At 55.0% G+C, this 27,989-nt stretch overlaps 1 protein-coding gene and 2 long non-coding RNA genes across 24 annotated transcripts in view, besides 11 other annotated features; 2 read left to right on the top strand and 1 right to left on the bottom strand.

Annotated features, from left to right (window-relative positions):
* Positions 221-1,185: an enhancer, noted in NCBI's record as "H3K4me1 hESC enhancer chr2:10573711-10574675 (GRCh37/hg19 assembly coordinates)". NCBI's record gives its function as "activates a minimal SCP1, AML or CMV promoter by ChIP-STARR-seq in primed H9 embryonic stem cells {active_cell/tissue: H9 hESC(primed)}" and the evidence as "EXISTENCE:reporter gene assay evidence [ECO:0000049][PMID:30033119]".
* Positions 1,186-2,151: an enhancer, noted in NCBI's record as "H3K4me1 hESC enhancer chr2:10572745-10573710 (GRCh37/hg19 assembly coordinates)". NCBI's record gives its function as "activates a minimal SCP1, AML or CMV promoter by ChIP-STARR-seq in naive H9 embryonic stem cells {active_cell/tissue: H9 hESC(naive)}" and the evidence as "EXISTENCE:reporter gene assay evidence [ECO:0000049][PMID:30033119]".
* Positions 1,846-1,905: a silencer, noted in NCBI's record as "silent region_11164". NCBI's record gives its function as "represses an Ori minimal core promoter by ATAC-STARR-seq in GM12878 lymphoblastoid cells {active_cell/tissue: GM12878}" and the evidence as "EXISTENCE:reporter gene assay evidence [ECO:0000049][PMID:35858748]".
* On the top strand, positions 1,957-3,184 carry LOC124907732 (uncharacterized). Of its 2 annotated transcripts, none has more exons than XR_007086214.1 (2): positions 1,957-2,072; positions 2,913-3,184. It is a non-coding gene; the product is annotated as an uncharacterized LOC124907732 (long non-coding RNA). The 2 variants fall into 2 exon arrangements; XR_007086213.1 differs by lacking the exon at positions 1,957-2,072 and adding an exon at positions 2,162-2,266.
* Positions 3,185-7,165: 3,981 nt separating this feature from the next.
* HPCAL1 (hippocalcin like 1) overlaps positions 7,166-27,989 on the bottom strand; it is a 124,701-nt gene continuing 103,877 nt past the window's right edge. For 8 of the 20 annotated variants that reach the window (XM_047444095.1, XM_005246160.2, NM_002149.4 and 5 more), the window contains 3 exons: positions 14,635-15,036; positions 11,682-11,787; positions 7,166-8,046 (listed from right to left, as the gene is read on the bottom strand). In XM_047444095.1, coding sequence (XP_047300051.1) covers positions 7,949-8,046; positions 11,682-11,787; positions 14,635-15,012 — 582 coding nt within the window. In that variant the 5' untranslated portion in view covers positions 15,013-15,036 and the 3' untranslated portion in view covers positions 7,166-7,948. Of the gene's footprint in view, positions 10,246-11,681; positions 11,788-14,634; positions 15,037-26,035; positions 26,212-27,989 lie in introns of all 20 variants that reach the window. The other 12 variants (XM_005246163.2, XM_011510347.2, XM_005246161.2 and 9 more) reach the window with 5 other exon arrangements.
* Positions 9,195-10,007: an enhancer, noted in NCBI's record as "H3K4me1 hESC enhancer chr2:10564889-10565701 (GRCh37/hg19 assembly coordinates)". NCBI's record gives its function as "activates a minimal SCP1, AML or CMV promoter by ChIP-STARR-seq in primed H9 embryonic stem cells {active_cell/tissue: H9 hESC(primed)}" and the evidence as "EXISTENCE:reporter gene assay evidence [ECO:0000049][PMID:30033119]".
* Positions 14,336-14,923: an enhancer, noted in NCBI's record as "H3K27ac-H3K4me1 hESC enhancer chr2:10559973-10560560 (GRCh37/hg19 assembly coordinates)". NCBI's record gives its function as "activates a minimal SCP1, AML or CMV promoter by ChIP-STARR-seq in naive H9 embryonic stem cells {active_cell/tissue: H9 hESC(naive)}" and the evidence as "EXISTENCE:reporter gene assay evidence [ECO:0000049][PMID:30033119]".
* Positions 14,924-15,511: an enhancer, noted in NCBI's record as "H3K27ac-H3K4me1 hESC enhancer chr2:10559385-10559972 (GRCh37/hg19 assembly coordinates)". NCBI's record gives its function as "activates a minimal SCP1, AML or CMV promoter by ChIP-STARR-seq in naive H9 embryonic stem cells {active_cell/tissue: H9 hESC(naive)}" and the evidence as "EXISTENCE:reporter gene assay evidence [ECO:0000049][PMID:30033119]".
* LOC124905972 (uncharacterized) lies at positions 16,305-27,312 on the top strand. 2 transcript variants are annotated; one of them, XR_007086211.1, is made up of 3 exons: positions 16,305-22,774; positions 26,657-26,801; positions 26,925-27,312. It is a non-coding gene; the product is annotated as an uncharacterized LOC124905972 (long non-coding RNA). The 2 variants fall into 2 exon arrangements; XR_007086212.1 differs by lacking the exon at positions 16,305-22,774 and adding an exon at positions 26,167-26,237.
* Positions 25,441-26,053: an enhancer, noted in NCBI's record as "H3K27ac-H3K4me1 hESC enhancer chr2:10548843-10549455 (GRCh37/hg19 assembly coordinates)". NCBI's record gives its function as "activates a minimal SCP1, AML or CMV promoter by ChIP-STARR-seq in naive H9 embryonic stem cells {active_cell/tissue: H9 hESC(naive)}" and the evidence as "EXISTENCE:reporter gene assay evidence [ECO:0000049][PMID:30033119]".
* Positions 25,441-27,112: a biological region, named in NCBI's record as "P300/CBP strongly-dependent group 1 enhancer GRCh37_chr2:10547784-10548983".
* Positions 25,452-25,581: a silencer, noted in NCBI's record as "silent region_11163". NCBI's record gives its function as "represses an Ori minimal core promoter by ATAC-STARR-seq in GM12878 lymphoblastoid cells {active_cell/tissue: GM12878}" and the evidence as "EXISTENCE:reporter gene assay evidence [ECO:0000049][PMID:35858748]".
* Positions 25,913-27,112: an enhancer, noted in NCBI's record as "P300/CBP strongly-dependent group 1 enhancer chr2:10547784-10548983 (GRCh37/hg19 assembly coordinates)". NCBI's record gives its function as "activates an origin of replication core promoter dependent on BRD2, BRD4, P300/CBP, MED14 and CDK7 cofactors, with strong dependence on P300/CBP, by STARR-seq in HCT116 cells {active_cell/tissue: HCT116}" and the evidence as "EXISTENCE:reporter gene assay evidence [ECO:0000049][PMID:35650434]".
* Positions 26,054-26,665: an enhancer, noted in NCBI's record as "H3K27ac-H3K4me1 hESC enhancer chr2:10548231-10548842 (GRCh37/hg19 assembly coordinates)". NCBI's record gives its function as "activates a minimal SCP1, AML or CMV promoter by ChIP-STARR-seq in naive H9 embryonic stem cells {active_cell/tissue: H9 hESC(naive)}" and the evidence as "EXISTENCE:reporter gene assay evidence [ECO:0000049][PMID:30033119]".

Raw genomic sequence — 27,989 nt, 5'->3', positions numbered from 1 at the left:
TGGTCCTGCCTGTCCCCCTGCCCGTCCCCGAAGTGGCCCCAATCCCCTCTGAGGTGTTCCCAATCCTCCCCTGTGCCCACCAGCGACTGGTGACCCCACCCGGCCTCCCCTGACCACCCCCCATGATAGGCTGAGTGGGCGGAGGGCAGATCTCCCCCCGCCACCCCTCCTGTGGGGCTGGTGCCTGGCACCTGTCCCTGAGCCAGAGGCAGAGCCCACCTGAGGCTGCCTGTGCCGCCCTCCCCATCCCCCACACACTACCACACATGCAAACACACCACACACATCCACAGCGCACACTAAGACCACATGCCCCAGCCTCACACACACCCCACAAGACACCCGCACACATGGCTCCCATGCTCTGCCATCCCTGCCAGGGTGCCTGACCCTAACCCTGGGGCCCCCACCTTCGGAGGTCCCCAGGAACCTGGAGGTCAGGTCCTGCCCCTGAGGACCCTTGCCATTCCCCTCAAGGCCCTGCAGCCCCTCCCTCTGCCCCTGGTTCCCTGACCACATGGTTTACAGATGAAGACACAGCGCTTGTCCAGTGCCAGGCGGCTCATTCGAGGTGGAGCTGGGACTTGGCCTGGGTCTCAGTGTGTGTCCAGGGCATAAGCTCATGCGGTTCCAGCTGCGTGAAGACAGAGCAGAGCCACCTGCTGACCCTCCCTTCATTCATTCATCCCCACTCATTCCTGAGCAGCCTCGCAGGGCTTCAGGGTGGAGACGACCAGAGTAATTTGATGAGGTCACCGAAGGCGACCTCTGGAGGAGGGGACATGGAGGCCTAGGACAGGCCTGGTGCAGGGAAGCTCAGTGTGGAGGGAGGCCACTGTGGGCCCAGGTGGGCCAGGAAGGGGAGCAGGGTGCCCAGAGCCCAGGCCCAGCCTCTCAGGCCACGGAGACAGGCACCCCACCTGGCCCTCCTGGAATGAGCTGTCAGGGCTGCCACTCAACAGCCTCATGTGGCACTCCAGAAGCCACCCACCTGTGGACTCGGGTCCACCACAGCACACGCAATGCCACACACACACACACACACACACACACAGTACAGTACACACCACCACACACATTCACAGCACACGCAATGCCACTCACACACAGCACACACCACCACACACATCCACAGCATACACAGTTACACCATGCCCCACACACCATGACACACACAGACACACATGCATCCACAACACACACATGTACACATAGTTACACCATGCCCCACACACCACCACACACGCAAACATACCACACACATCCACAGCACACACACAGTCACACCATCCCTCACACACCACTACACACGCAAATACACCACACACATCCACATCACACAAAGTCACACCATGCCCCACACACCACCACACACGCAAACATACCACACACATACACATCGCACACACGGTCACACCATGCCCACACACCACCACACATGCAAACACACCACACACCTCGACATCACACACAAAGTCACACCATCCCCACACCATTCCCACACACCCAAACACACCACACACATCCACAGCACACACTAAGACCACATGCCCCAGCCACACACACACCCAAGACAACACACAGACGCACACACACACACCTAGTGGATGAGCCCGCTCGAGCCCGGAGGGCCTGGCTGCAGCTGGAAGAGGCCGTGGGCAGGTGGCTCCAGGGCGGGCCAGGGTCTGCCTTCCCGTGAACTGCAGGAGGCAGGTGGCCCCTTCAGGTCGGGGCCCCATGGTACAGTCACACAGCCCGCTGGGAAGAGCCGGAGGAGCTGAGGCCTTCCAGGGGCCCTCCAGGGGCTGCCGCCCCGCCCGCCCCCGCTGGCCTCAGTCACCCCTCCTCCCGAGCTCCCTCCCACCCTCCCCAGCCTCCTGCCCCAGGCAGGCTGTACCCGCCCCCGCAGCTCCTGCGCCCCGGCAGTGCCCTGCTGTGCCATGCCCCGCGCTGGCCCTGGGGAGGTGTTTGCTGGATAAACAGCTGCCCCCCGGGGCCCAGGCCGCAGTGCTCCTTCGCCACCGTGTCTCCAGCATCACCCCTTCTCCTCTGAGACCTCTTCCCAGGCCACAGTAAGGGAGCCCCAAGCCAAGGAGAGGGCGTGCCCAGCTTAAAGGAAACTGACCTTGGCCCTGCCCTACCCCGCCCCACTCTGGGCCGGGATACATCGCTGCCGACCCGGAGCCGGAGCCCAGGACCAGCGGGCACCAGGCCCCTGCGCCGCAGTGGCGGGGTCAGAGCGGCAGGACTGGGTGGCTGGTGACAGGTGGGACTAGCGCGGGACCACTTGCCTCTCGAGCCGAGCCCCGCCCCTGCCCCACAGCTCCATTTTCTTCTTGTTCCTTTCAGGGCTGCCAGGCTGCCCCAAGCCGGAGTCTGTTCCCCGACGGCCGAGGCTCCCGCTGGCTGGCAGCTCCCCAGGCGTGTGGGTTTGATTCCCAACGGCGCCCAGCCCAGGGCAAGGCGGCTGGGGGAAGGCCACGCCACGGATGAACCCAAGGCCGAACTCCTGTTTTTCTAAATACCTTTTCCGGGGCCCACGAGGTCCCTCTCAGAAGCCTGAAGGTCCTGTGGGTTCTGTCTCCTCTTGGGGGGCTGTGATCCTAACTGGACCCCCGTTTTGGGTCCCTGCTCATGCGCACCCCTGATCTCAAGAGGCAGATAGAAGATCTAATGACGTACCTGCCTAAGCCCGGCAAGGAGGGGAGGGTTCCATTCGGAGTCCAGTGCCCCGCCCTGAGAAACGGGCGCTCAGGAGGGCGCCCCTCAGGCAGTGGTGGGGAGGCGCGCCCCCTTCTCCACTAGGGCGTGACCTGGCACGGGGTGGGGAGGGAGTCAGGCCTGGGTGCCACAAATACAGTGCGTTTAAGTCTTGTTCAGGGACCCAGGGAGAAACTCCTTCATTTCTCTAGACACCAGGGGCCCTGAAGGAGGCCGCTGGCAAGGAAACATGGACCCGGCTCCAGCCCAGCTACTGGAAGACCTTTCTGGAATCGGGAGAAGACGCACCTCGGACTTGGGAGCTGATCCTTCTTTCAATTCCTGATTCTGCCACCTCTTGCTAAGGATTTCAGGCTAGTTACTTAACTTCTCTTAAACCAGCATTATCAATCTGTATAATGTGGTAGTGATACCACATTGCAGGGTTGATGGGAGGGTTAAATTAGACGTTTAAAGTTTTAAACAGTGTCTGTACGTGGAAACCCTTGATAAATGGGAGCTAATGTTTTGCTAGCTCAATGCTGGTTCCCACGCGGGAGGCCAGTCTACCCAAGCAGAAAATGCCTGGGGCTGTATTAATTAAGGCCTAAGGTTCAGAGTAAGGGAGGTGACAGTCTTGCCCTACTAGGGGTTCATCGTGGCCTGACTAGATGAACTGTCTTGGGACTAACACCTCATACTGCCACCCTTCCCTCCACACTCCAGGGCTTCCTTCCTTCGAGTCTAAACATTTTCCTGTCTCAGGAGTTGTTCCCATTACCCTGTATTTACTCAGTGAGCATGGGACACCATGCAGTGAGTGTCAGGACAGCTGGTGGATGGGACCATGGAGCCACCGGAGCCATTTTCCAGAGTTTCTGTTGAGTCCACCCACATAAGCCTTGCTTATGCAGGTACATGATTAGATCTTCTATCTGTCTATAGGATAAGGGACACTTGTATGCAACTCCCAAGGAACTTTAACAACTTGGAGTGCCCGTGCAGGATGGCAAAGGGTCTGGGATCCCCTGGGGCAAGGAGAAGGCAGGACAAGAGAGAAGCTTGCAGAAGGAGGTGGTTGGAGGAAGAGGAAGCAGGCCCAGGGCCAGTACTGCAAATTACCAGGGAAGGACAGGTGGAGACACTTTCTTTCTTTTTTTTTTTTTTTTTGAGACAGAGTCTCTGTCACCCAGGCTACAGTGCAGTGGCACCGTCTCGGCTCACTGCAACCTCCGACTTCTGGGTTTACGCCATTCTCCTGCCTCAGCCTCCTGAGTAGCTGGGACTACAGGCGCCCACCACCATGCCCGGCTAATTTTTTATATTTTTAGTAGAGACGGGGTTTCACCGTGTTAGCCAGAATGGTCTCGATTTCCTGACCTCATGATCCACCCGCTTTGGCCTCCCAAAGTGCTGTGATTACAGGCGTGAGCCACCGCACCCAGCCGAGACACTTTCTAACAACCCGCCCTGAAAGATCCTGATCCCGGACAAAGGAAGAGACTGAGGAGGCCTCCTGCTGGGTGGGTGGCATGGACGACAGTTTTGGGTTCACTTCTGGGTTCTTTCCTCCTCTGATAGGCTGGGCTTCTTGGCACAGGGACACCATCTTTGGGGTTCAATTCCCTGCCTTCCCAGAGAGCACTGGACTCCTGGACAAATCATACTGGCTTCTGTGAGCTCCTTGTAGGGCAGGGTCCACTAGGATCCCCATATCTACCTCCTCCATATCTGAGCAGAGGTGGTTATAATGGTTAATTTTATGTGTCAACATGACTGGGCCAGGGGGTACCCAGACATTTGGGCAAACCGATTATTTTGGGTGTGCCTGTGAGGGTGCTTTTGGATGAATTTGACATTGGAACTGGTGACCAATGGGGGAACCAGGTGGGGTAAAGCAGATCCCCCTCCCCAATGTGGGGGTCCTCATCCACTCAGCTGAAGGCCTGAATAGGACAAAAGCCTGAGAATTTGTTCTTTGCCTCACAGTCTTGAGCTGGGACATTGGCCTCCTCCTCCCTTAAGATTCAGACTGGAACTACACCATTAGCTCTCCTGGGTCCCCAGCTTGCTGACCTCTGTCTACAGGGGACAGGGCTGCTTGTCTCCTTGGGACCTCTCAGCCTCCATAATCACGTATAAGCCAATTCCTTATGATAAATACATCTATCTAACCATCCATTCGCCTACCCATTCATCCATCCATCCATCCATCCATCCATCCATCCATCCACCCACCCGCCCACCCATCCATGCATCCACCCTCCCATCCAACCAATCACCCACCCATCCATACATACATACATCCACCCACCTGCCCACCCATCCACCCATCCATCCAGCCACCCACCCACCAACCCATCCATGCATCTACCCACCCACCCAACCATTCACCCATCCATCCATCCATCCATCCACCCACCCACCCACCCACCCATGCATGCATCCACCCACCCACCCAACCATTCACCCACCCATCCACCCATCCATCCATCCACCCACCCACCCAACCATCCATCCACCCATCCATCCATCCATCCAGCCACCCATTCATCCATCAACCGATCCACCTAGGGACCCATCCACCCACCCACCCATCCACCCATACTCCCATCCATCCATCTACCCACCGACCCATCCATCGACCCACCCATCCACCTATCGATCCACCCACCGACCCACCCATTCACCAACCCATCCACCCAGCCATCCATCCACCCATCCATGCATCCACCTGTCTATGCATCCACCCACCCATCCATTCACCCACCCATCCCCTCACCCACTCATCCATACATCCATCCATCCATCCATCCACCCACCCACCCACCCATCCATCCACCCACCCCTCCCATCCATGCATGTCTCCTATCAGTTCTGTTCCTGGAGAACCCTGACTAATGTAGTGGTCACTCCCATCTGTTTCTGTTGGACTCTGTCCCCATCATAAGTGAGCCCTCCCCACAACAAGCACTCTTGATTTAACCTTTGCCAGTCCCAGTTAAATGTTTATAAAATTCAAGCCGTTCACTGGCTGTTCTTCCAGGTGAGGCAGTGTTGCCAAAGGCACCGTCTTGCCTCTTTGTAGCAAGCTAGATCTGCCCAGGGCACCTGGCCTCCATCTCGCACCCCACCTGGTTCCCCCATCAAGGCTTGGTGGCTCTGGGTGCATGGAGAGTTTTACTATGAAATAGCTCTAGCAGTGCCATTGACTCAGAAGGCACTTGGCAAACAGACTCACCATTTCTATTAAAAGAGACATGGAGTCTTAAAAAATATTAAAATGACTAAAATCAACAAATTAGCTGCTGTTGCTGAAGGCCTGCTGGGAGGCAGGTTCCAAGCCATGCGCTTTGCATATGTGACCTTGAGCCACCCAGCTCCCCCCATCCCCTACAGTGAAGACACTGAGGCACAGAGGAGCCGACAGCAGCAGGCAGGTGGGCAGACGCCGTAGTGCCCGTCCTGGTAATAGAACCTCCATTCCACTCACCCCTTCCCAACCCTATGCCCTCTGGGGGAGGCAGATGCCACCTTGGCCAAGGGCCATCTTGACCAGCGTAAGCCAGCCGTGGCCATGACATGGTCATCTTGTGAACACAGGCCATGGTTTCAGCCATGAGATGTGGGGCTGGTGGGGACGGGGTGGTGGGCAGATTCTGGAGGGTTTTCCTGTCCCTCAGTGGGAGGACAGAGGCTTCTCTCCCTGCCTCTTGATGCTCCCATGTCAGCTGTACTGCCCAGAACCACAACAGCAGTTGTAGGCACCCCAGGAAGACAAGCCTGAGGTGAAAAGCTGACTGTGATTAGGAGGCGCAGTGCTGTTCACCCGAGGTCCCAGCTACTCAGGAGGCTGATGCGAAAGGATTGCTGGAGCCCAGGAGGTTGAGGCCAGCCTGGGCAACATAGAGAGACACTCTCTCTTAAAAAAAGAAAAAAAAAAAGACAAGCTGATGCCTGGGGATCCCCAGCGATGCTGCCTTTGGATCCCTTGGCAGGCGAGACCAACCAACCCCCACTTCTTCAGCTGGGCCTTCTGCTGCTGGGACCAGAAGCACTGACGGCAGCGGCGAAGGCTGGATGGAGAACCAGGCCTGCCACCTCTGGGTCCAGCCTGACTGCACCCTTGGCTATGCCCGTCCTCTCTTGGAATGTGGCTTTCCTACGACCTGAAACCGTGGAAGGAGAAGGAGAGGGAAGGGCTGGGGGGAGGCAGAAGCCTGACCGTCAGATCTGCCAAGAACAGTCATCGTTTATTTCCACGAGTATTTCTTGGCATTAGGCAGATATTGAAGAACAGGCTGTGCAAGATTTATAAACGCGGGGACAGCTGGAGGGACGTAAGAGGGGCCGGATTTACCAACAGCGGTGGCACGCAGCACACCCGCCTTGCCTGGAGAGTGCAGGGGCCACGGCCTGAGGAATGGGGGCTCCCGCGGGCAGACGCAAAACTCAGAAAATGCCATTTATTTTATCATTTTAATACCGGAAATGCCAGACCAATCAACAGGGAGGACAGACCAGACACAAATGCCTGTGCTCACAACACGGATGGGAGGATCATCACGGCTCAGGGCACACATGCATTTCCTTAGAAACAGGCAGACAAAGAGAGCATAAATACCACACAACAGCCAGGCTCAGGGGGCTGCGGGCCACAGAGGGCTGCGCTTCAAAGGCAGTCAGAGGCATTAAATACGGGACCTACACAATACACTCCACTTCACCATACATAATTTATATATTAAAAGAAAGGGGACCACAGTATCTATACGTGCAAGCGGCTGTGGTGGAGAAAATGAACGGGGGGGCAGCCATGCACGGGAGGGGCTCCCTGTATACCCTCCCGACGCCTCGTCCCCACCCTTCCCACAGAGTCACTTGGGATCACAAAACGCATGGGCCGGCCGGGGCGCAGCCTCGGGAGGTCCTGCCTGGTCTCCTCGGCATGGACCTCTGAGCTCCCCGTGAGCCGGGAGGTGCCTGGAACCAAGAACACTTGAACCCTGCATGTCACCACATCCCTGGGAGTTGCCCTGGAAGGGACCGGGCCAGGCGTGAGGGGAGGAATGTCGCGTTGGTCAGGTGGAGGAGGGAGGCGCAGCCACCGGGCTGGGCAGGTGCAACGCATGCCCCAGGCCCGGGGCCCGGGAGAGCAGGAACGATTGCGGGGCATCCACTCTTGCAAGCAAAGCTTAAACGGCACGACAAGCCTGTGTTTCTCTGCAACTGTCCAGGGGCCGCTCGCTCAGAACTGACTGGCACTGCTGGGGTCGCACTGCAGCAGGCGGACGATGGAGGGGTCGCTCTTGGCACCTCTGATGAATTCTTCCAAGGACAGTTTGCCTGCAGGGGACCAGAGACAATGGGATTAGCCAGTGCTCACTGTTCTTTATGCTTCCAGAGAGGATGGGGACAGCTCTCAGGTCAGGTATGCTCCCTTTGTTGAAAGTCCTGAGCCTTCTTGAAGCTGGACGGTGTCTAGTCTCCATTCACTTTACAGGCATTTCTGAAAAAAAATCCTTTTTCCTTTCCCTGCTCCCTGCAATACATCAGGTACCTCAAAGGGCTTACCCAGCAAGCTCAGCAGGACGTGGCTGATGAGGGCCATTTAAATCCTTTTAGAAATCACCCCACACTTCGCTTATTAAGGAACGTGTACACTGTGCAGAAAAATGAAGCATTTGCCTCTAACCCATACAGAATCCAGGCTGAGAAGGCCATGCTGGTTGGGGGCCCCCGGAAGCACGGTCCGGATCCTCCCTGGCATCAGCGTAGACCCGCTGCTCAGGCTTGGGGTACCAAACTCATGCTCTGTACTGTTTTGGCCCCATGCGGTGAGAGGAAAACCTAGAAAAAGATTGGTCGTGCTAAGGAATCAGCTGCCCCCTCATCCTCCGCATCCAATGCTGGTGACAACATATTCCCTCTCCCAGGACACAGACTCGGTGACTCCACACTGGGCTGAGTGGCCTCTGGAGGCTCGTGGCCTAGGGCAGGGCTCCGTAAGGCTGATCGGCTGAGCTGGGTGGGGTGAGGTTTTCTGACCCTCCGCTCCCCATCCCATAACCGCTGTCAATGAGCTCACACTGTGGTCACTATAGCCCTGGCTCTGCTAGTCCACAAGCAGGATAGGCTGTAAGGATTCTGCCCGTTCAGACATGGCCTCAAGGGCAGGAGGCGGTCCCTCTGGCTCCAGCTGGTGGGGAAGGATGAGGTTTGAGGTTGGCTGCGTCCTGGCGGCCTGGTCCTGGGGCAGCCCCTCCATGTGTCTGTTTGAGGCTCTGTGCTGTCAGCTGGAATCACTAGGGCACCCTGCAAAATGTCTGTGCAGGCAACACAGACGCATGCAGCCAGGCCCAGCACAGGGGAAGGCATGCAGGAGGGGCTCTCGGCTCTGGCGCATGGCAAGCCACCAACGTTTCCAGGTCTCAGGATCTTCGTCTCGAAGGTGGGATAATGGGAACACCCATCTCAAAGGCACCTGGGAGGATGCATTTGAGGACTCAGACCAGCACCAGGACGGAGGATGCCCCTGCACAGTAGGGCCCTGCTGGGAATTCAGCCCCTCCAGCCCACTGGCAGGCAGGGACACCTGTCCTCATGGGACTCTGGCCCAGGCTTGGGCAGGCTGGCTTCTTCCAGGGCACGAACTTGATGCCTCTGGGGCCTGGGCAGCCTGCTGGCCCCAAGAGAGCCCAAACAATGCCCGGGCTAAGGGGTGGGTAGGGAGAGGGAGGGACAGCCAGGCCCTCAGCAGACAGTCCCCAGGAACCTCTGCCAATGGAGAGAGTGGCTCCCCACCCTCCACCTCTGACCACTCAGGGCAGCCAGCTGTGTGGTCATCTCCTTGGCTAGGTGTGGGGCCTCAGAGTCCACGGCCCCAGCCTCCCCACTTCCAGTTCCTGACCCCAGGCCCTCCTGTCTCAGGCCGAGAGAGAGCAGGCCAGCCCAGATGGACCTCCAGTCAGGAGAACCAGAGCTGCCCCAGGACGACTCTGAGGGCTGCTGAGATGCTGGGAGCTTCCGAAGGTTCCACTGGCTCCTCCTGATGGAGGGCAGGGCAGGCGAGGGGGTTGCTGAGCACAGCCTGTCCCACATGTGCGGCCTGACAAGCTGAGGAGAGGGTGGCTTTAATGATACTTGTGTCCTGGAGAAACCCATCAGCCCAGCCTAGAGGCCTGGAGCAGCCAGGCACCTTCCAGGGTGGCCAGGGAAGTTGGGGCAAACTCCAGGGCACCATCACTCCTGAGCAGTCCCCGGAGGAGCTTTGAGGGCCGAGGACCACTCCCTGAACTGACTCTGGCCCCTGGCTGCAGCCCCACCTTCCTGGTATCACTCTTCCCTCCTTGCCCCAAGCTCCAGGGACAGGCGGGTCCCCTGGGCTCACAGGAGGAAGTGCTCCATCCCAGCAGGCACATTAGCAACGACCATGCCATCCAAATTCCCAACCAACCTAGAAGATGCCCTCTGAAGAGGTGGGCAGGGCCAAGCCAGGAGGCAGATTCGGGCAGCGAGTGACCATGGGTGGCTTCCCCAGGGACACTGTGAAGTTGGGAACAACAGCCATTATTTGTGGAGTGCAAGCCCTGCTAAAAGCTTTAAGGCATCATCTCGCTGAAACCTCACAACCCCATGGGACCGGATTCACCATCCCCACGAGGAGCGGACAGCCTCAGGAGAGCGGCAGCAGGTGCCCTGCTAGGCTGGAGGGTGGAACACACATTTCCCATCAGCCCAAAGGCAACGCCAGGCACCAGGCAGCCTTGTTTTCTGTGTGTGTGTGTTTTGAAACTGTGACCTGGCTGCCTGGAATGCTCTTTGCTGCTTACAGCTCCCCCACATCCCGTCTCCCGCTGGGGCCATGCTTAACTCACCCGAGGGCTGCACTCCAGACTTCGCAGAGCAGCTTCTTGGGCATTAGCTTATCGTTTAATCCCCAGCACAACCCAGGGAGTATTTCCTCTTTATTTTTTTGAGATGGAGTCTCACTCTATCGCCCAGGCTGGAGTGCAGTGGTGCGATCTCGGCTCACTGCAAGCTCTGCCTCCCGGGTTCACACCATTCTCCTGCCTCAGCCTCCCGAGTAGCTGGGACTACAGGCGCCCGCCACCACGCCTGGCTAATTTTTTTGTATTTTTAGCAGAGACGGGGTTTCACCGTGTTAGCCAGGATGGTCTCGATCTCCTGACCTCGTGATCTGCCCACCTCGGCCTCCCAAAGTGCTGGGATTACAGGCGTGAGCCACTGCGCCCAGCCTGTATTTTCTCTTCTTAAGGTCGTGTTTCTTTATTGCTCAAAAGCAAAGCAAACCTGGTGCTGTGGCTGCTCTTGACAAAGCCGGCAAGAAGAGCAGAATGGGAGGGCCGCACAGCCGCCCTCACCTCACAGCCAATGCAGAGGAGGGCACTCGAGGCACAGCCCTGTCACCACTGCTGCCACCCACCATCGTGAGACTTGCACTTCTGCAGTGGGGCTGAGTCTCCACAGAGCTGCTGTAGGTGGACAAGGTGGCAGCGTACATCCTGACAGTTCCCCTTGGACACTGGGGCCATCTGGGCAGCTTCTTCTCTCAGGATGGCAGCAAGAGAGGCATGGCCAGCACCCCAGGACCCCAACATCTGGGATCCTTTGATCTCAACCCCTCCAGGTTCAGGGCCACCAGCATGCTTGCCTCCCTGCCCCTAAACATTGTACCCACGGGAATATGGGTATGCCCGATTCTATAAGTGGGGAGACAGTGGCTCAGAGAGGCCACAACATGCCCAGCATCACAAAGCTGCACAGAGGAGCCAGGATACAGCACGGGTGTCCCTGACTGCATCCCGCTCTTCCCTGGGCATGGCAGGCGCCAGGCAGGTGGCGGGCGGGGGTGGCCCTCAGGAGACCAAGAAGCTGCAGAGGGGAGGGGGTGCCCCAAACCACATGGTTTTGCCCCTACCGTGGCGTACACATGCAGCCCCGCCCCCACCCCGCACTACCGTCATTGTTGGTGTCCATCTGCCTGAAGATCTTGTCTGTGCGCTTCTCCGGGGTGGACTCATCCTCCGGCATCTTCATCACAGACGACACCATCTTGTAGATGGCCTGCGGATGGGGGCAATGACACTGTGCTCAGAGGCCCGGGGGCTTGGGCGGGTGCAGCAAGGGTGGGCTTCCGCCCAGCCCACAACAAGGCTCGGAGAGGTCAGGGGCTCCCGGTGGCCTTCGGGACCCTTCCCCAGTGGGGAGAATGTTCCCTAGTGAACCTCACGGGTGTCTATGTGAAGTTCAAGAGCAGAGCTGGCAGAAGGGTTCTACTGGGAGGGTGGTGAGGGTGCTGGTATCTCTGCCTGGGGGTGGGTAGTGCCAGGAAGGTGCCTAAGTGTCCCTGTCGGGGGCTGGGAATGCTGAGGGAGAGTGGTGGTCACAGATGTGTGAAATTCCCCACACTGCCTGCTGAGCTGTGTGCATTTTACTCCATGGCTGTTACCCCTCAGTTTAAAAGAGACTGAGTCCCTGAAACTCACAGGGCAAGCCCCATCACCAGCCCCGACAGGACAGGAAGCAGCAGCACTGGGGTCTCCATGGCCTGTTTAGGGCACTGTCAGCCGAGGGCTCAGTCTAGCCACTGGTCTCTCTGCGTGTCTCTGCCTGAGTGGCCCAGCCTGGGGCATGTGACTCTGTGCTGCTGGTGGGTGTACAGAGGAGACGGTGATGGGACTGGTGAGTGGCCACTGAGCAGAGTGACATGCGTGGGGAGTGGTGGCACTGCTGTGGGATTTTCTGAGCACTCCACGTGAAGGTGGCTTGATATTCTCATTCCTGACAACAGACCATTTTCTCATTGTGAGAAAGAGGTAGCAACCAAGTGTCCCATGAGAAACACCACCCAGCCGGCCAGGGAGCCATCGATGGCGTCGGGGGAAGGCTTTCAGGGTTTGGGGACTTGGTTTGGGGGCTGTCCCGTTTGGACAGAAGTGGCTGCTCCTCACTGCTTGGAACAGTTCTACCAGTGCCTTGATGTTCTGACCAAGCCTCTGCACGGCCAGTGACAGGCACACCTATTTGCAAAGGGTAAGGGTTAACACACAGGACAGGACGGGTGATTCCTGGGGAATAGAATTCTTACTTCCGCCACTGCATGAAGCTAAGAGCCAGAAAGTGACGACAGTACCAGAGTTCCCCGAGCCCATGTTAATTTACTCTGACAGTGTGAAAACCATCTACGTGGGAAATGGGTCGCTCATTCCTGAGGCGGGCCACTGCTGCTGCAGAAGTTCACGGATTTGATACCCGCTACTGGAGGCCCACCCCTGAAGTTCCCTACCATGGGACCACCCCTTCTGAAGAGTTCCATTTTTTTCTTATTTTGCTTTTGGTCTTTTTGGAGGCAGGGTCTCACTCTGTCACCCAGGCTGGAATGCAGCAGTGCAATCACAGCTCACTGTCACCTTGAACTCCTGGGCTCAAGCAATCCTCCCATCTCAGCCTCCCAAGTAGCTGGGACTACAGGTGCATGCCACTATGCCCTGCTACTCTTTTAATTTTTTATAGAGATGGAGTCTCACTATATTGCCCAGGCTGGTCTCAAACTCCCGGGCTCACGCGATCCTCCAGCCTCGGCCACCCAAAGTGTTGGGATTACAGGCCTGGCCATGAGTTCTAGAATTGGATGCTCCTGGGCTCAGGGAGGCACTCAGGGGAATGCCAGGGAGGGGCAGCTCTGCTCTCTACTCTCTCTCGCATACCTAGGCACCTGGCCAAGTGAACAAAACTTGGTTTCCTTCTGAAACATGGCCTTTCTGCTAGAGCTGTTGATAGGCATGAAGGTGAAGAGATGCCTCCTAAAGTGACGTCTTTCCCGTGCTGAGCTGATTCTCGTGATCGTTAATGCTTCAGTTTTACTTGATGACTGCGCATTCCTGGGGACATCACAAGCTATCTGTTGAGTTCTCAAATCCAGGGCTTTCCCCAGGTCTTGGCAGGTACCTCTTGCAAGTGCCAAGGAGCCCAGCAATCATACAATTCTTGGCCAGGCACGGTGGCCCATGCCTGTAATCCTAGCACTTTGGGAGGCTGAAGGCAGATCAACTGAGGTGAGGAGTTTAAGACTAGCCTGGCCAACATGGTGAAACCTCGTCTCTACTAAAAATACAAAAATTAGCTGGCTGCGGTGGCACATACCTGTAATCCCAGCTACATGGGAGGCTGAGACAGGAGAATCTCTTGAACCCAGGAGGTGGAGGTTGCAGTGAGCCGAGATCATGCCACTGCACTCCAGCCTGGGCGACAAAGTGAGACTCCATCTCCAAATATATATAAAATATAATTTTTAGAAATTCATCTATTTGAGTCTCAGACTTTGTAAAATGCAGAGAATGACCCACGTTGTTGGGTTATGAAGATGAAAACGGATCAAAGTGCTCCACCCGGCCCTGATGTATAGCAAGTGATCAATAAACATTGGCTTTTACCATTGCCCTTTGCAAGGGTCTGCCCAATCAGGTGACAACTGCTCACTTTCCAAAGTGCACCAGGTAGCAACCTGGCCAAGAAAGACCCAATGTCGAGTGAACATAAAGAACACAGGGAGGCCAGGCACGGTGGCTCACACCTGTCATTCTAGCACTCTGGGAGGCTGAGGCGGGCAGATCGCTTGAGCCTAGGAGTTCAAGACCAGCCTGGATAATGTGGCAAAACCCTCTCTCTACCATCAAAAATACCAAAAAAATTAACAGGGCATGGAGGTGCTCAAGAGGCTGAAGCGGAAAAATCACCTGAGCCCAGGAGGCAGAGGTTGCAGTGAGCTGAGATAGTGCCACTGCACTCCAGTCACTAGAGCAAGATTCCTGTCTTAAAAAAAAAAAAAAAAAAAAAAGCCCTGGGCTGGGGGCTGGGAGCTGGGAGGGGACCTGGGCCCGCGGTGAGACCCGGGGCCTCGGGCGCCGGTACCTGCACGATCTCCAGCATCTCGCTGCGGCTGATGTAGCCGTTGCCGTCCAGGTCGTACATGCTGAAGGCCCACTTGAGCTTCTGCTCCAGCTTGCCCCGCGAGGTCACGCTCAGCGCAATGATGAACTCCCGGAAGTCGATGGTGCCGTCGCCGTTGGTGTCGAAGGTGCGGAAGACGTGCTCGGCGAACTTGGAAGCGTCGCCGTAGGGGAAGAAGTTGGCGTAGATCTTCTTGAACTCGTCCACGGTCAGGTGGCCGGTGGGGCAGTCCTTGAGGAAGCCCTTGTACCACTCCTGCAGCTCGTGGTCGGTGAACTCCGTGTTCTCCCGCAGGTCCTGCAGCACCTCGGGCCGCAGCTTGCTGTTCTGTTTGCCCATGGCGGCTGGCGGCGGCGACTACACCTGCAAGACAGGGGGTCAGCCGGGGACGCCACCCACGGCCACGGAGCAGGGCTGAGCCATGTGCCGGAGAGACCAAATAAGCCCATCGCTGTGCAAGCGCTGCGACTCAGCAACTCCCGGGTCCCCCATCGGAAGGCATGCCGCTATCTTATGGACCACCAAGAAGGCCAAGAGACTCTAATTATATCACGACAGCTCACCCTCACACTGCGGGACACGTTCTCACTTGGAGAATGTGGAAATGCGGGGGGGAAAATGCAACTTAAAATCAGTGGAACAGGGCATCATCCGGTGCCCACCAGGGGTTGTACGAGAGGCGAAGATTAAAATCAGTTCTTACTTTCATCCCCCTCATCAGCTCCTGGCAAAGTGGCCACCTCAGCCACATCCCAGACTCTTTGGGGCAGTTCTTCCCTCTTTCAGGCATCACATTATGTTTTTATCTTTAGAAGAGGCGTCTAGAAACTTTCAGGGAGTCACCCCCACCCACCTTCTTTATTTGTTTATTTGTTTGTTTCTTTTGAGATGGAGTTTTGCTCTTGTCGCCCAGGCTGCAGTGCAGTAGCAGGATCACAGCTCACTGTAACCTCCGCCTCCCAGGTTCAAGCAATTCTCCTGCCTCAGCCTCCTGAGTAGCTGGGATTACAGGCATGCACCACCGCGCCCAGCTAATTTTTTGTATTTTTAGTAGAGACAGGGTTTCACCATGTTGGCCAGGCTGGTCTCGAACTCCAGACCTCAGGTGATCCACCTGCCTCGGCCTCCCAAGGTGCTGGGATTACAGGTGTGAGCCACTGTCCCCGGCCCACCCTCTTTATTTTGCCTTTGATAAACTGCCCCGGGTGGGAGGAGGATCTGGAATTAGCTCTAGGCAGTAAATGATGTTCTGAATGGAACCAGGGAAAAATGAGGCACCTGTGGGAACGAGGAACTGCTCTGCTCAAAACCATCCCCCAGGGCGGTTCTCCACAAGTCCTGAATGCAAGACTGATCAACCGGCATTCACACGGCTGCCACTGCACCACCTCATGTTATTTTCTTACATTAACAGTTAACTGATATACAGGGCGTGATAATTTTTGAAGTACATGGAAGAATGAGAAATAAAAAGATGTCTCCTACCCTAGCCACAGTGGCAACCACTTTGAACTCTGTGTTTGTGAATTCTAAACAGTAGGCACCAGCTCTCCATTATGAAAGGTAAGACAGACCACCCACACTGCCCACCACTTCCTTTCTTCTCTGCCTCTATCCCAGGGTTGTTTTTTTTTTTTTTTTTTTTTTTTTGAGATGGAGTCTCACTGTGTTGCCCTTCCAGGCACTTATGAGGAGTGTGCAGTGGTGTGATCTCGGCTCACTGCAACCTCCACCTCCTGGGTTCAAGCAATCCTCCCAACTCAGCCTCCTGAGTAGCTAGGATTATAGGCATGCACCACCACACCTGGCTATTTATTTATTTATTTATTTATGTATTTTTAGTAGAGACAGGGTTTCACACTATGTTGGCCAGGTTGGTCTCAAACTCCTGACCTCAAGTGATTCGCCTGCCTTGGCCTCTCAAAGTGTTAGGAGTATAGGCATAAGCCACCACGCCCAGCCCATCCCAGGTTTTATAGTACATACATGTTTTTGTTTTTACTTATCCTCTCTATATCAATCAATCAATCTATCTATCTATTTTTTATTTATTTATTTTTTGAGACAGGCTCTCACTCTGTCACCCAGGCTGCAGTGTGTGATCATGACTCACTGAAGCCTTGACCTCCGGTGCTCAAGTGATCCTCCCACCTCAGTCTCCTGAGTAGCTGAGACTATGGGCACACACCACCACACCCAGTTAATTTTTTTTTTTTTTGTAGAAACAGGGCCTCACTATTTTGCCCAGGCCAGTCTCAAGCTCCTAGCTTCAAGCAGTCCTCCCACCTTGACCTCCCAATGTGTTGGGACTACAGCCGTGAGCCAAGATGCCAGGTGTTTTTACTTATCTTTATGACTTTATCTTTCAAAATTCCAAACACACATTCACCTTGACCCAGCCATCCCACTTCCAGAAACATCTAATGATACTCCCACCTGTGCAAATAATCTGTGCAGGTGGCCATTGCCTACGTGGTCTGTAACAGCAAACTACTCAGGTGCCCATCTTACGTACTCATAAGAAATAATCTTCAAGGTGTATTTTTATGTGAAAAGAGAAGCTGCACAACAGCAAGCAGAGCTTGTTACCATTTATGAGAAAAGAAGACAAACATACGTGCTTGTGTGTTTGTGCTCTGGAAGGGCTTATGAGGAAAGAATAACATTGGCCGGGAGGGAGAGAGACGGCTGGGTGGACATGGGCCCTGGGGACTTTTTTTTTTGTTTTTTTTTGAGAGGGAGTTTCGCTCTTGTCACCCAGGTTGGAGTGCAATGGAGCGATCTCAGCTCACTGCAACCTCCGCCTCCTGGGTTCAAGCGATTCTTGTGCCTCAGCCTCCCAAGTAGCTGGAATTACAGGTATGCACCACCATGCCCAGCTAATTTTTGTATTTTTAGTAGAGATGGGGTTTCACCATGTTGGCCAACCTGGTCTCGAACTCCTGACTTCAGGTGATCCACCTGCCTCAGCCTCCCAATGTGCTGGGATTACAGGTGTGAGCCACTGTGCCCAGCCCCTGGGGACTTTTTATTAAGAGAGAGGATTCTTCTCTCCTCCTGGCCAGTTAAGCCCAGCTCTGGATATGCAGCCACAGGAGGCCAGCCTCTCCAACTGCAGTTTGCCCCAGACGAGGACAAGCATGGCCCCTGTTTCATGGAGGAGTTGAGGAATCACATCAGACTCAGAACAATGTGCAGATAGGGGACCCCTGCACCCCCTGCCTCCATCATCCAGAAATATGACCCACCCTGGGGCTTGGGGATGACGCCTGCCAGCATGCTCTAAAGGGCTCAAAAAAGTCCTGGTTCTAACATGCAGCTAGTTCACTTTAGAAACTCAATTAATTCACAAGAGGAAATGGCCATAGAGATTTCTACATGGAAAAAAAAAAAAAGGGAATGTAAAATCAGAAGATCACTACTACCAAAATACCTGACAGAAGAGAAAAAACAACAAAGATGCTACTGAGGTTTTTGGTTTGTTTGTAGAGATAGGGATCTTGCTATGTTGCCCAGGTTGCTCGAACTCCTGGCCCCAAAGTGATCCTCCCACTTTGGCCTCCCAGAGTGCCTGACAAGACTGCTATCCTGTTGGAAGAGCTCTGGACCTGGCTTGGAGATGTGGGCTCCCTCTGGATTCTGCTGTCACTGACAGCTCTCGGGTCTCACCCAGGTGAGCTCTGGACTCCTTCCTGTGTTGCCTTGGCGGATCCCAGACAGCTCTGTGCCCAGAAAGCCCCCCTCCGGCTGTCAGGGCTGTGTCCCCCAGAACTGCACAGTGCCCAGGGCATCGCTCACTGGGGCAGTTCCACTTCCTAGGCCCAGATGCATGGGTTGAATCATGGCCCGCCTAAAAGATGTTGAAGTCCTAACTCCCAGTATCTGTGAATGTGAATTAGGGTCTTTGCAAGGACCTATTTGCAAAGGTAGCCTGAGGACCTGAGGTTACCTTGACTGCCGCTAAGCCCTGAGGTGGTGGGAACCCTCCTGACCACTGAGTTTGAGGGCCTGGGCCATTGTGAAGGACCAGCCTTGCGTGGCACCTGAGGGAGAACCCACAGATGGACGGCAGAAGGACAGGTAGAGGATGGATGCCCAGCCTGAGGCCCTGCAGCACCCGTGGTGGCTCCTCCTGTGCTTTCTGCCCTGGCCCTCGGGTTGCTGTGTGGGGCCACTGAGTCAGCAAAGACGTACACACGCAGAGCCCATGGAGCTCGCTAGGTGTTCACATGTCACTTCCACAAACAAGTCCTGGGTGGCACCAAGCCAGGCTCCGGGGCACAGGGGAAAGGCATTGAGTGTGGGCTCAGAGCCAGTTCCACCCACCCCTGCTCGGGGGACCTTGGGGAGGTGGTCAACTTCCTGGAGCTCTGGACTCCCCCCGAATAACAGGGATGGCAGGGTGGTCGTGATGATCAAGAGGAGGCCTGGGGCACCCGACCAAACCGCATGTGGCTCCTTCACCATGCGGAAGCTTTTCCAGAACTTCCTGTGTGTCAGAGGGAGTGTGGGCAGTGAACAAAACCCATACGGTCCTTGCCTCGGGGGCCGACACCACACGGGGAGCACGGGGGTGAGAAGGAGAGGGGAGATGGCTCATAGGCGGGGCATGGATCTGTGGATGGCTGCCCCAGAGAACCCCCAAACTGATAGAACATGGCAAGTGTCCTAGGAGCGCTTATGAGGATGAGGAATAACTGGTTTTATGGGAAGGGAGGGATGGGGGTGCGGGGCACCTGGGAGGTTGAGCTAAGCTGTGGAGTAGGGAATGACCTCCCAGCCCCTCCAGCTCCCGCAGTCAGGCCAGTGAGTGGCAAAACAAGCAGCTGCAGCAGGTTGCCTGAGGCTCCCAGGCAGCGTGAGGCACACCCAGCCCAGGGCCGGCCCTCCATGCGGCCTGGGGCAGAAGTCCCACCTCTCCAAGTCTGCAGAACCAGGCAGGGGTTGACCCACCGGGCTGTCCCACTCTGCGCTATGTCCCTCAGAGCACTGAGACTCAAGCTGGGGCACCCCCAAACCCTGCACATCTCCACTTGGTCATTCCTAGGCTTCAAAAGGGCCCATTTTCCCATCCCTTCGTCAGCTCAGCTGCTCTCAAGGCTTTCTATTGTCCACACTCCTCTCAAACTGTGGCGTTCTTGCAGCCAGCATCTGGAGGGGAAAGCAGGGTTTGTCTTAGGTGTCTCTAGTTCAGCCTCCCGTCTGCCGCTGTAACAGCAGCAGCGCACGTGCAGAATGGACCAGTACGTGAGAAGGCTGTGTTCTGCACCTGCTTGTCCTCATTCCTCACTCCTTTCAGCTGAAAGGTGATGACGTTCCTCCTGGCAGCATGTCCGTGTGTGGTTTAAGGGGATGGCATCGTACTCCTCTCTGGCACGTGGCCAGAGAGAACCAGCTGTGAGCAGAATGAGACAGCTGCTGCTATGGCCTCAACTGTGCTTCCCCCAAATTCCCATGTTAAAGTCCTAACCCCAGGTCCCTCAGAATGGGACTGTACTTGGAAACACAGTCTTTAAAGAGGTCATTAGGTTAAAATGAGGTCACCAGGGTGGGCCCTAATCCAATATGACTGGTGTCCTTATAAGAAGAGGAGATGAGGACACAGACACACAGGGGAAACCGTGTGAAGGCACAGCAAAATGACAGCCATCTGCAATTCTAGGAGAGGGGCCTCTGGAGGAAACAACCCTGCCAACACCCAACCCTGCCAACACCCAACCCTGCCAACACCTTGGACTTCTGGCCTCCAGACCGTGAGAAAACAGAGTTCTGTAGTTTAAGTGCCCAGTCTGCAGTCCCGTGTTACAGTAGCACAGCAGCCACCCTTGGGGAACTGACCTACAGCTGACAAACATGTGTTATCGGTGTCTCTGGGGCAGGAGTGATGCCAGGTACGTTACACCTGCTCTCAGCAGGGACAGCCAGAAGCAGCAACCATGGCCTGTGGGGCCCATTTTGTCAGATACTTTACCTATTAGTCACGCTTCACCACAAGTAAACCAACCCTGGGAGAGCCCCGGAACCTCTGAGAGGCAAAGCCAGGGCTTGGACCCAGGCGGTCTGGCCTCCTCCCCAGGCCTTGCATGGGCAGCAGAGGGGAGGCTGGCCCAGGCAAGGGCGACATGGTGATGGACACATTGTTGGCTAGTGGCAGGCCCTTTCTGCCTGATTTGCACCCCTGCATTTTTCATTATCAAAATGAGCCACCTTCTGTGAAGTTCTAGGCCCTGGGAGTTGAGGATCACTGCCTTAAGAATCCACTCACCTCAGTGAAAACCAAATCACCTCTCAGAACGAAGGGAGAAATTTATCCCAGGATGGATCGGTGATTTATGTTCTTACCGATCCCATTGGAATGCCAAACTCATAACACTTATCTGCCTGAAATCACAGATGCGTATAGAAAGGGAGGTACCAGATTAGGGGCAGTGCCAAACCCAGTGAGCACACCGCTAGAAGGTAACAGGCGGAGTGCATCATGGTCTGCTGGGGAGAAGCTCCCTGCATTCCCAGCACCTTCCTGCGTGTGCCAGAGGGCAGACGTGTGCGCCTGCGGCCTCCTGCCTCACTCAGCACCTCCTCTGGAAGGGCTTCCTACCCTTCACCCTCTCCCAGGTGACCCAGCTGGGCCTGGCACAAGGTGGGTGTCTGTGTTGGGTGAATGGACACTCTTGCTGTGGTTGCAGTTGCTGTGTATACACACATGCACAAGAACCTGCTTTAAGGTTTGGCTAACTCCAGAGGCAGGGAGGTTTGGACAAAGCTGGTATTCCAGTGTGACCCACTTTCGGAATGCAAGGGAGAGAATTCAAGCCTCACAGAGAGGAGTGACACCAGCCAGGAGCCTCTGAGCTGTGTCCCAGGAGCCCCAGGGACCTTCCTAAGGCTTTGGGGGTCCACAGGATGGGCAGGGGAGGAGGAAGGACTCTGGGCCTCCAGGCCCAGCACAGACCAGAGCAGCAACCCTCTGATCTGTTTCTGCATCTGTTCTCTTTCAAAGAAAGGATTCTGCTGATGCAAACAAAGTCTGATGCCAAGACCTGCTCATCCTAAGGTTCCAGGTCTAGCAGCATAAACACAACAGAAGAATGTGGAGGCAGAAGAGTGTAGGGACCCAAAAATAGTACAATACCTTTGCCGCTTCCTTTTGAAAAAATCCCCACCCCAACAAGGAGAACAAGAAAAAGAAAAGAAAGACTGTGCCTATGACCTTGATCACATCCACAAGCCCCAACACATATCAGTGGGAAGTGGGCAGGGAGATGGCAAACAGCTGAACAGGGAGGGGGGCCAGGAAGGAGAAACAGGGCAACTGGGGCCCCAAAATTCCAGAAGGCTCAGGGATAGGGTATCCCCAGAGCCTCAGGAGGTGTGGGAGGCAGAGTCTGAAGGAATGTGCAAGAATAGAGCCTGTGCCGAGACCATGTGCTCTTCTTACTCTATTGCCTTTTCTTCCAGGGCACACAGCCGGACTACATTTCCCAGCCTCCCTTGCAGCTAGGTGGTACCATGTGACTACACTCTGGCCAATGGGATGTGGCCAGAGTGATGACCACACTTCTGGCCTGAGCCTCCATAACTGTCAGGGCAGCCCTTGCTGCACACGCCCTTTCCTGCCCTTTCTTGCTGGGCACCTGGAAGCAGACTATCCAGGGGAGGACTTGGAGGCCCCAGAGGGCATAGACCCTAAAGCATTTCTCAACCAGGCTTTCTCATCTGAACCACAGCCTGCAGTCAATGACTGGTGTGCCCATTTCCCCAACCAGTCATGTACCTAAGGATGGTGTGTAACTGGTTTCATTCCAGGTATGCAGGAGGAAAGTCGTTCCCTGCACACCATGATGCCTTTGCTGTGAGTCCTTGATTCCCTCCTGGAACCCCGGCTGAGAAAGGCTGTGAGACGAAAGACCTTCTAAAAAGAAGAAACTTAAGTCCTTGCGTGACTGCGTGGAATAGAGCCTTCGTCTCCTGCGGTGACATCCCACTGCAACACATCAGGAAACACCACTTCACTGGGCCAAGCAAAGGTTGGCACTTGCTTCTTACAGCAATTAGCCACCCCTGACCAACATGGAACCCTGTACTGCGACTCAGCGGTCAGGTAACCACCCCCACCCCAGCCCCATCTCCAAAGCTTGGGGGAGGAATCTTCTCTGGAAAGACACTGGACAGGAGAACAACAGGCCCAGAGGAAGGCTGGTGAGGAACCCACAGAAGATGGGTGAGTTGAGGGAAGTCTGCCCTCTCCAGCCTACCTCCTTGCCCTGAGCAAGCGGGCAGCCAGCCGGGATCAGCCTCCGAGCAGGGGACTGGAGGATCTTTCTCCAGGGAAGTGGAAACATCAGCCTGTCCTTGGGGCCTGGTGCCAGCGGGGTGCTCAGTGTATTCCAGGCTGTCGGGCCCTCTGAGTGCCGAATCCCAGGCTGAGCACTGGGATGCCGGTCCCCAGTCACCAGCTCCCTGGGGGGCTTGAGTTATGGTGTAGGCATGCCCAGGAAGGGGCATAAAAAGTGAATAAAGTGGGGTCCAGGGGAGTCGCTCATTCCCGGGGCACTCGGCGGCTTGCCTAGGACAACGGCATTTGGAATCACAACTGAATGACAAGGAGGATTTCAAAGGCTGCAGGAGGCCCAGTCCCTGTAGGCCACATCCAGGGGAGGACACAGTGAAGATTCTAGGAGCTGGGAAAGTGGGGTCACTCCTGGCTAGGCCGAGAGGAGGCAATGTCAGCTCCACCTTAGGGACAAGGGACCGAGGCTTCGGTGGGGTGGTGGGCTGTGGACCCAGGAGGTCTGAGTGGAGAGCCCACCTCCTTCCCATTGTCCTGTAACCTCCTCTGGGCCCTTTCCATGCCAAGACCATAAGCAGCCGTGGAGGCCACCCAGGGTGCTCCTGGCTGGTGTCCAGCACTCTGCTTGTGCTCGCCAGGACAGCTTTGCAAGATGGCCTCCCCACTGGAACTTTTATGAAACTGGTAAATGGAGCCCATGAATGCCAAATGAAGGTGACGGCCACACACACACTCCCAGTCACTCACTGGGACAGCCAGCATTTGCTTATTAACAAGGGCCCAGATGAAATATGTAATCTGAAGGACCTCATTTTAGCTCTCTCCTGGAGGCTGTCGGGCCCGACGCAGGCTGCCTCACAAGAAACGGGGGGCGGGGGGAATGCTGCATGCTGCTGTGACCCCTCTGTCATTCATTAAGCAAAGGAGCCAACCTTATTGGTGCTTGGCTGTCTAGTAAGACGACCGAGCAAAAGCAAGCCTTTCTGCAGAGACAGAAAGCCACCACTCACGTTTCCCAGCAGAACAGCCACCTTGCTCCAGTAATTAGGCAAACCCAGCCTTCATTTCTCAGGAAGTCTTTCATCTCCAAGGAGGATGGTGGGGTAAGAAATGGGAGGCCCAGGGGAGGGCAGTCTATTTGAGAGCAGAACCATCTCCTGCTCGGCTTAAAAAGATTCATATTCAAGCAAGGCTCGGATCAAACTAGTAACAGCTGTCTGAGGGCATCAGAGATGACGTTGTAATTCACGGTGATGGAAACATGGGAGAGGGAGTTAATGAGTCACTTACAGCCACCTCTGTGGTTCTCAGTTACCCTGCTATTGTTCTTAATCTGCTGAATTGTAAAAAAAAAAAAAAAAAAAAAAAAAGAAGAAGAAGAAAAAGAGGAACAAGGAAAGAAATGTAAACATGCAGCTGGGGAGCCCTGTGAGAAATAGTTAACCCAGAGTCGGTATTGCCTGTAAATTAAAGCCTGTTTAGTGGCACAGTTCTAGCAGCTGCTCAGTGAGGCTCCTGGGAACCGAGGGCTTGATTGTCCTGTTAATCCCACCTCAGTGCCGGCTGACGGCATTGGTTGGCATCTCATCCCATTGCTCCAAAATGCTTTCATCAGTCAGATCCCCGAAGCTTGCCAGGCCAACCAGACTCTGAGATGCTTTGAGGGAAGGCGACCAGAGAGGTGGGAAACACCAAATGCTTATGAGAGACCCAGGCTGGCCGGGGCGCCGTGGCTCACACCTGTCATCCCAGCACTTCAGGAGGCCAAGGCAGTGGATTGTCTGAGCTCAGGAGTTCAAGACCAGCCTGAGCAACATGGTGAAACCGTCCCTACTAAAAATATAAAAAATTAGCTGGGTGCGGTGGCACGCACCTGGTAGTCCCAGCTACTCGGGAGGTTGAGACGGGAGAATTGCTTGAACCCGGAGGGTGGAGGTTGCAGTGAGCTGAGGTGGTGCCACTGCACTCCAGCCTGGGCAACAGAGCGAGACTCTGTCTCAAAAAAAAAAAAAAAAAAAAAAAAAAAAAAGACTGAGGCTCAGGAAGAGGCTGGAGAGGCGTTTGTTGTGAATTTGAACTTCAAGGAATCAGAGGGCTCAGGCCATTTGAGATGAGAGCTTGTTCTTCCTGGGGTGGAACAGGAAGGTGGAAGGCAGAAGGGGCCGGTGGAAGACAAACAGGTTTGTGCTCTTTCTTATCCAGCACCCAACCCAGTTCTTTCTCCCGGTGACCGCTGGACCCACACGGCCCCTGCAGCTAAGCCCCTCTCCTAGGGCTGATTGCATTTTTCAAAACAACTCGGGCCTGTGTCCTTCTTTCCTCCAAATAAGCAAGTGACAGTCAAGCTGCCTGCAGCCTTAGCTTCCCGGTAGTTCTCCAAGGAGGGGCCCGTTTTGCCCCTGGGTGATTGCGGGGAGGCTGTGCCGGCTGCCAGGACCCAGGTGCAGGGAGGAGCCGATGCATCTGGGACCATCCAGGCTGAAGTGTGGCTGGGCCGACGCTAGAGGGAGCTGTTGAACAGGCTCCCAGGGCCTGAGCTGAGACCCCGCCCCTCTCAGGTGCCTCCGTGTCTCCACCTATAAGCTAGGGCTGCTTTGTCCACTATGGTCACAACCAGCCACACGTGGCTACTGAGCACATAAACCGTCGCCAGTCTGAACTCATATATGTGCCCTTAGTGTAAAATACACGCCGGATTTTGACGACTTCATATGAAAAAAAACAACATAAAATATCTCATTAATACTTTCTCTTTCTTGATTACATGTGAAATGGTAAATGATACCATTTGGGATCTAACGGTTTAAATCAAACAAGTTTTAAATTTCATCTTTTTTACTTTTCAATGCGGCTATAGAAAAAGTTACAATCACATAGGTATGTGTCTCCCACTTTATTTCCCGTGGGCAGTGCTGGGTAGAAGTAGCATTCAGTGGGTGATACCAGGGACCCTGGATCTGGGGCTACCAAACAGGGACTCTTCAAGCTCATTAGCACCCTGTGGTATCCTTTATTTATTCACTCCTTAGTGCCCTTGAGTGAAAGATCATGGCGTTTGTATTTCATAATTACCTGTGAGTCCCACACGGTTCTCTTTTCAGCAGGGAGGGCTAGCCTGAGAACGCTGCCAGAGGCCAGCTGCAGTGAGGACCCCAGGTCTGACCCCAGCTAAGGAATGAGGCTGGTGGGGAGGGGCTGCAGAAGGAAAAGGTTCCTCCTTCTCTTTGGAGCTGGAACAGCCAACCCTGCTGAGTCAGATCCGGGGAAAGAGGAGGTTAGTAACACCTCTAGAGTGACAGTTCCAGGGCGTGCCTGCACCTAAACCCAACCCACTGACCTAGAGCTCATTTCTGGAGGCCTTCCTGAAAGCTGTTGCATCACGGCATTTTACCCACTGGAGGGGCTCCAGGCCAATGACCTGTTGTTGAGAAATCCAACCGAAACCTTCTTGACTTCTTACCCATCCCCAGCCTCTTAAACTCCCCACAACTCCCCAAAACCTTACAAGAAAAACATAACATATGAGAAGAGAGAGAGAGAGAGACCCAGCAGGGCACAGAAATCCCCTTCCTCTACCAATCTCTCCTTCTTTTCCACCCTCTCAAGGCTGAAATGCCCTAAATGAAGCTGGTGAGAAGGAAGAGGTGGAGAAAGGAAAAGGGAAATCCCCAAGAGCTGTACTTTCTCTTGCAGAAGCTGCTACTGCGACAGGAAGAGGAATGTGTGGGTGGCTGTCCCTGCACACCTTGTGCCTCTGCAGATATGAGTTCACCCGTGTGGCACGCTCGCCTCAGCCACCCTGCCAACCCCTACTCATCCACCAAAGCCCAATGCAAAGGTCACTCCTCAGGCTTGCCTTTCCCAGCCCCTACAACTGCTCTTCCCTTTGAATTCTAACAGCGTTTTTCTAGTATGAACTCAGCTTTGAACGCGTCACTTCTTTGTCTTTTTCCTTCATTAGACTGGGAGCTCCTGGGGGAAGGAGAATCCTTCATTTGTCCCAGTCAGAGAAGCTGCTCAGCGTGTTCCAGCCTCAGGGCCTTCGCACCTGCAGTTCCCTCCACCTGTCTGCTCTTCCTTCCCCTCAGTGTCTGCAAGGCTCACTCCCTCCAAGTTCATGTTCTTGCTCAACAGTCGTGGGGAAACCTCCTCCAAGGACCCACCTCAAAGAGCATCCACCCTCACCCTCTGGTCCCTCACCCTGACCCCTTTCTCAGCATTTCCTGCCACCTGGCACTATATTTACAAAATCTCTTGACTGTCTGCCTCCTTTTGTTCACCACTGTACCCCCACAGGGCCCAAAACAGGGCCTGGCACACAATTCAGTCAATAAATATGTTTGAATGAATGGTTGTGTATTCCAAGCGCCTAGCACAGTGCCTGAGCAAATGAACAAAGCAATGAGTGAGTGGTTCTTTTTCTAGGATCCCTCTTATTCTAACATTCTGTGACTCTTCCAGTTTTAGGAATTGCTGGAGGAAGGTCAGGGGTTAGGATGGTCAAGTGCTCTCCTGCTCAGATTTGAAGCTGCTCCAAGAAGGCACATTCAGACTCGGTATTCTGGAAATCTCTGTTTTCTGGCATGGAAACAGCTGCAGCAGAGTAGAGTTTTGGGGCCATGCCAGACTTGGGGGTGTCCATTTATCAAACTGGTGCCAATCTCCTTCCCAGGTGAACACATCCCAGCTATATGGTCCTCAGCCAGTGGGGTGGGGGACAGGATGGGGGACTTCCTGCTACTCTCCAGTGAGATCATTCCCTGGACCAGTGCGGCGTCATCATAGAGCGAACATCACTCCAGCTTGAGTCTTTGGAGAGGAGCTCTTTGAGCTGCCTCCCAAGCAGAGAAAGGGAGGTGAGTGAAACGGACATACATGAGCCTCTGGGGAGAGAACAGGGAGACAGGAAAAGGGAAACGCCCAAGAGAATGCTCCCCTTCCGTCCGGAACCCTAACCCAGCAGGAAAAGGAAGCTCAAAGGCAGGACCAAAATGAGACCATAGACTTTCTGAAAGCAACCCCCGAC

This window comes from Homo sapiens, chromosome 2 (assembly GCF_000001405.40).
Source record: "Homo sapiens chromosome 2, GRCh38.p14 Primary Assembly".
In the NCBI taxonomy this organism is placed as follows: Eukaryota; Metazoa; Chordata; class Mammalia; order Primates; family Hominidae; genus Homo; species Homo sapiens.
This window is presented reverse-complemented; position numbering and strand designations above follow the sequence as displayed.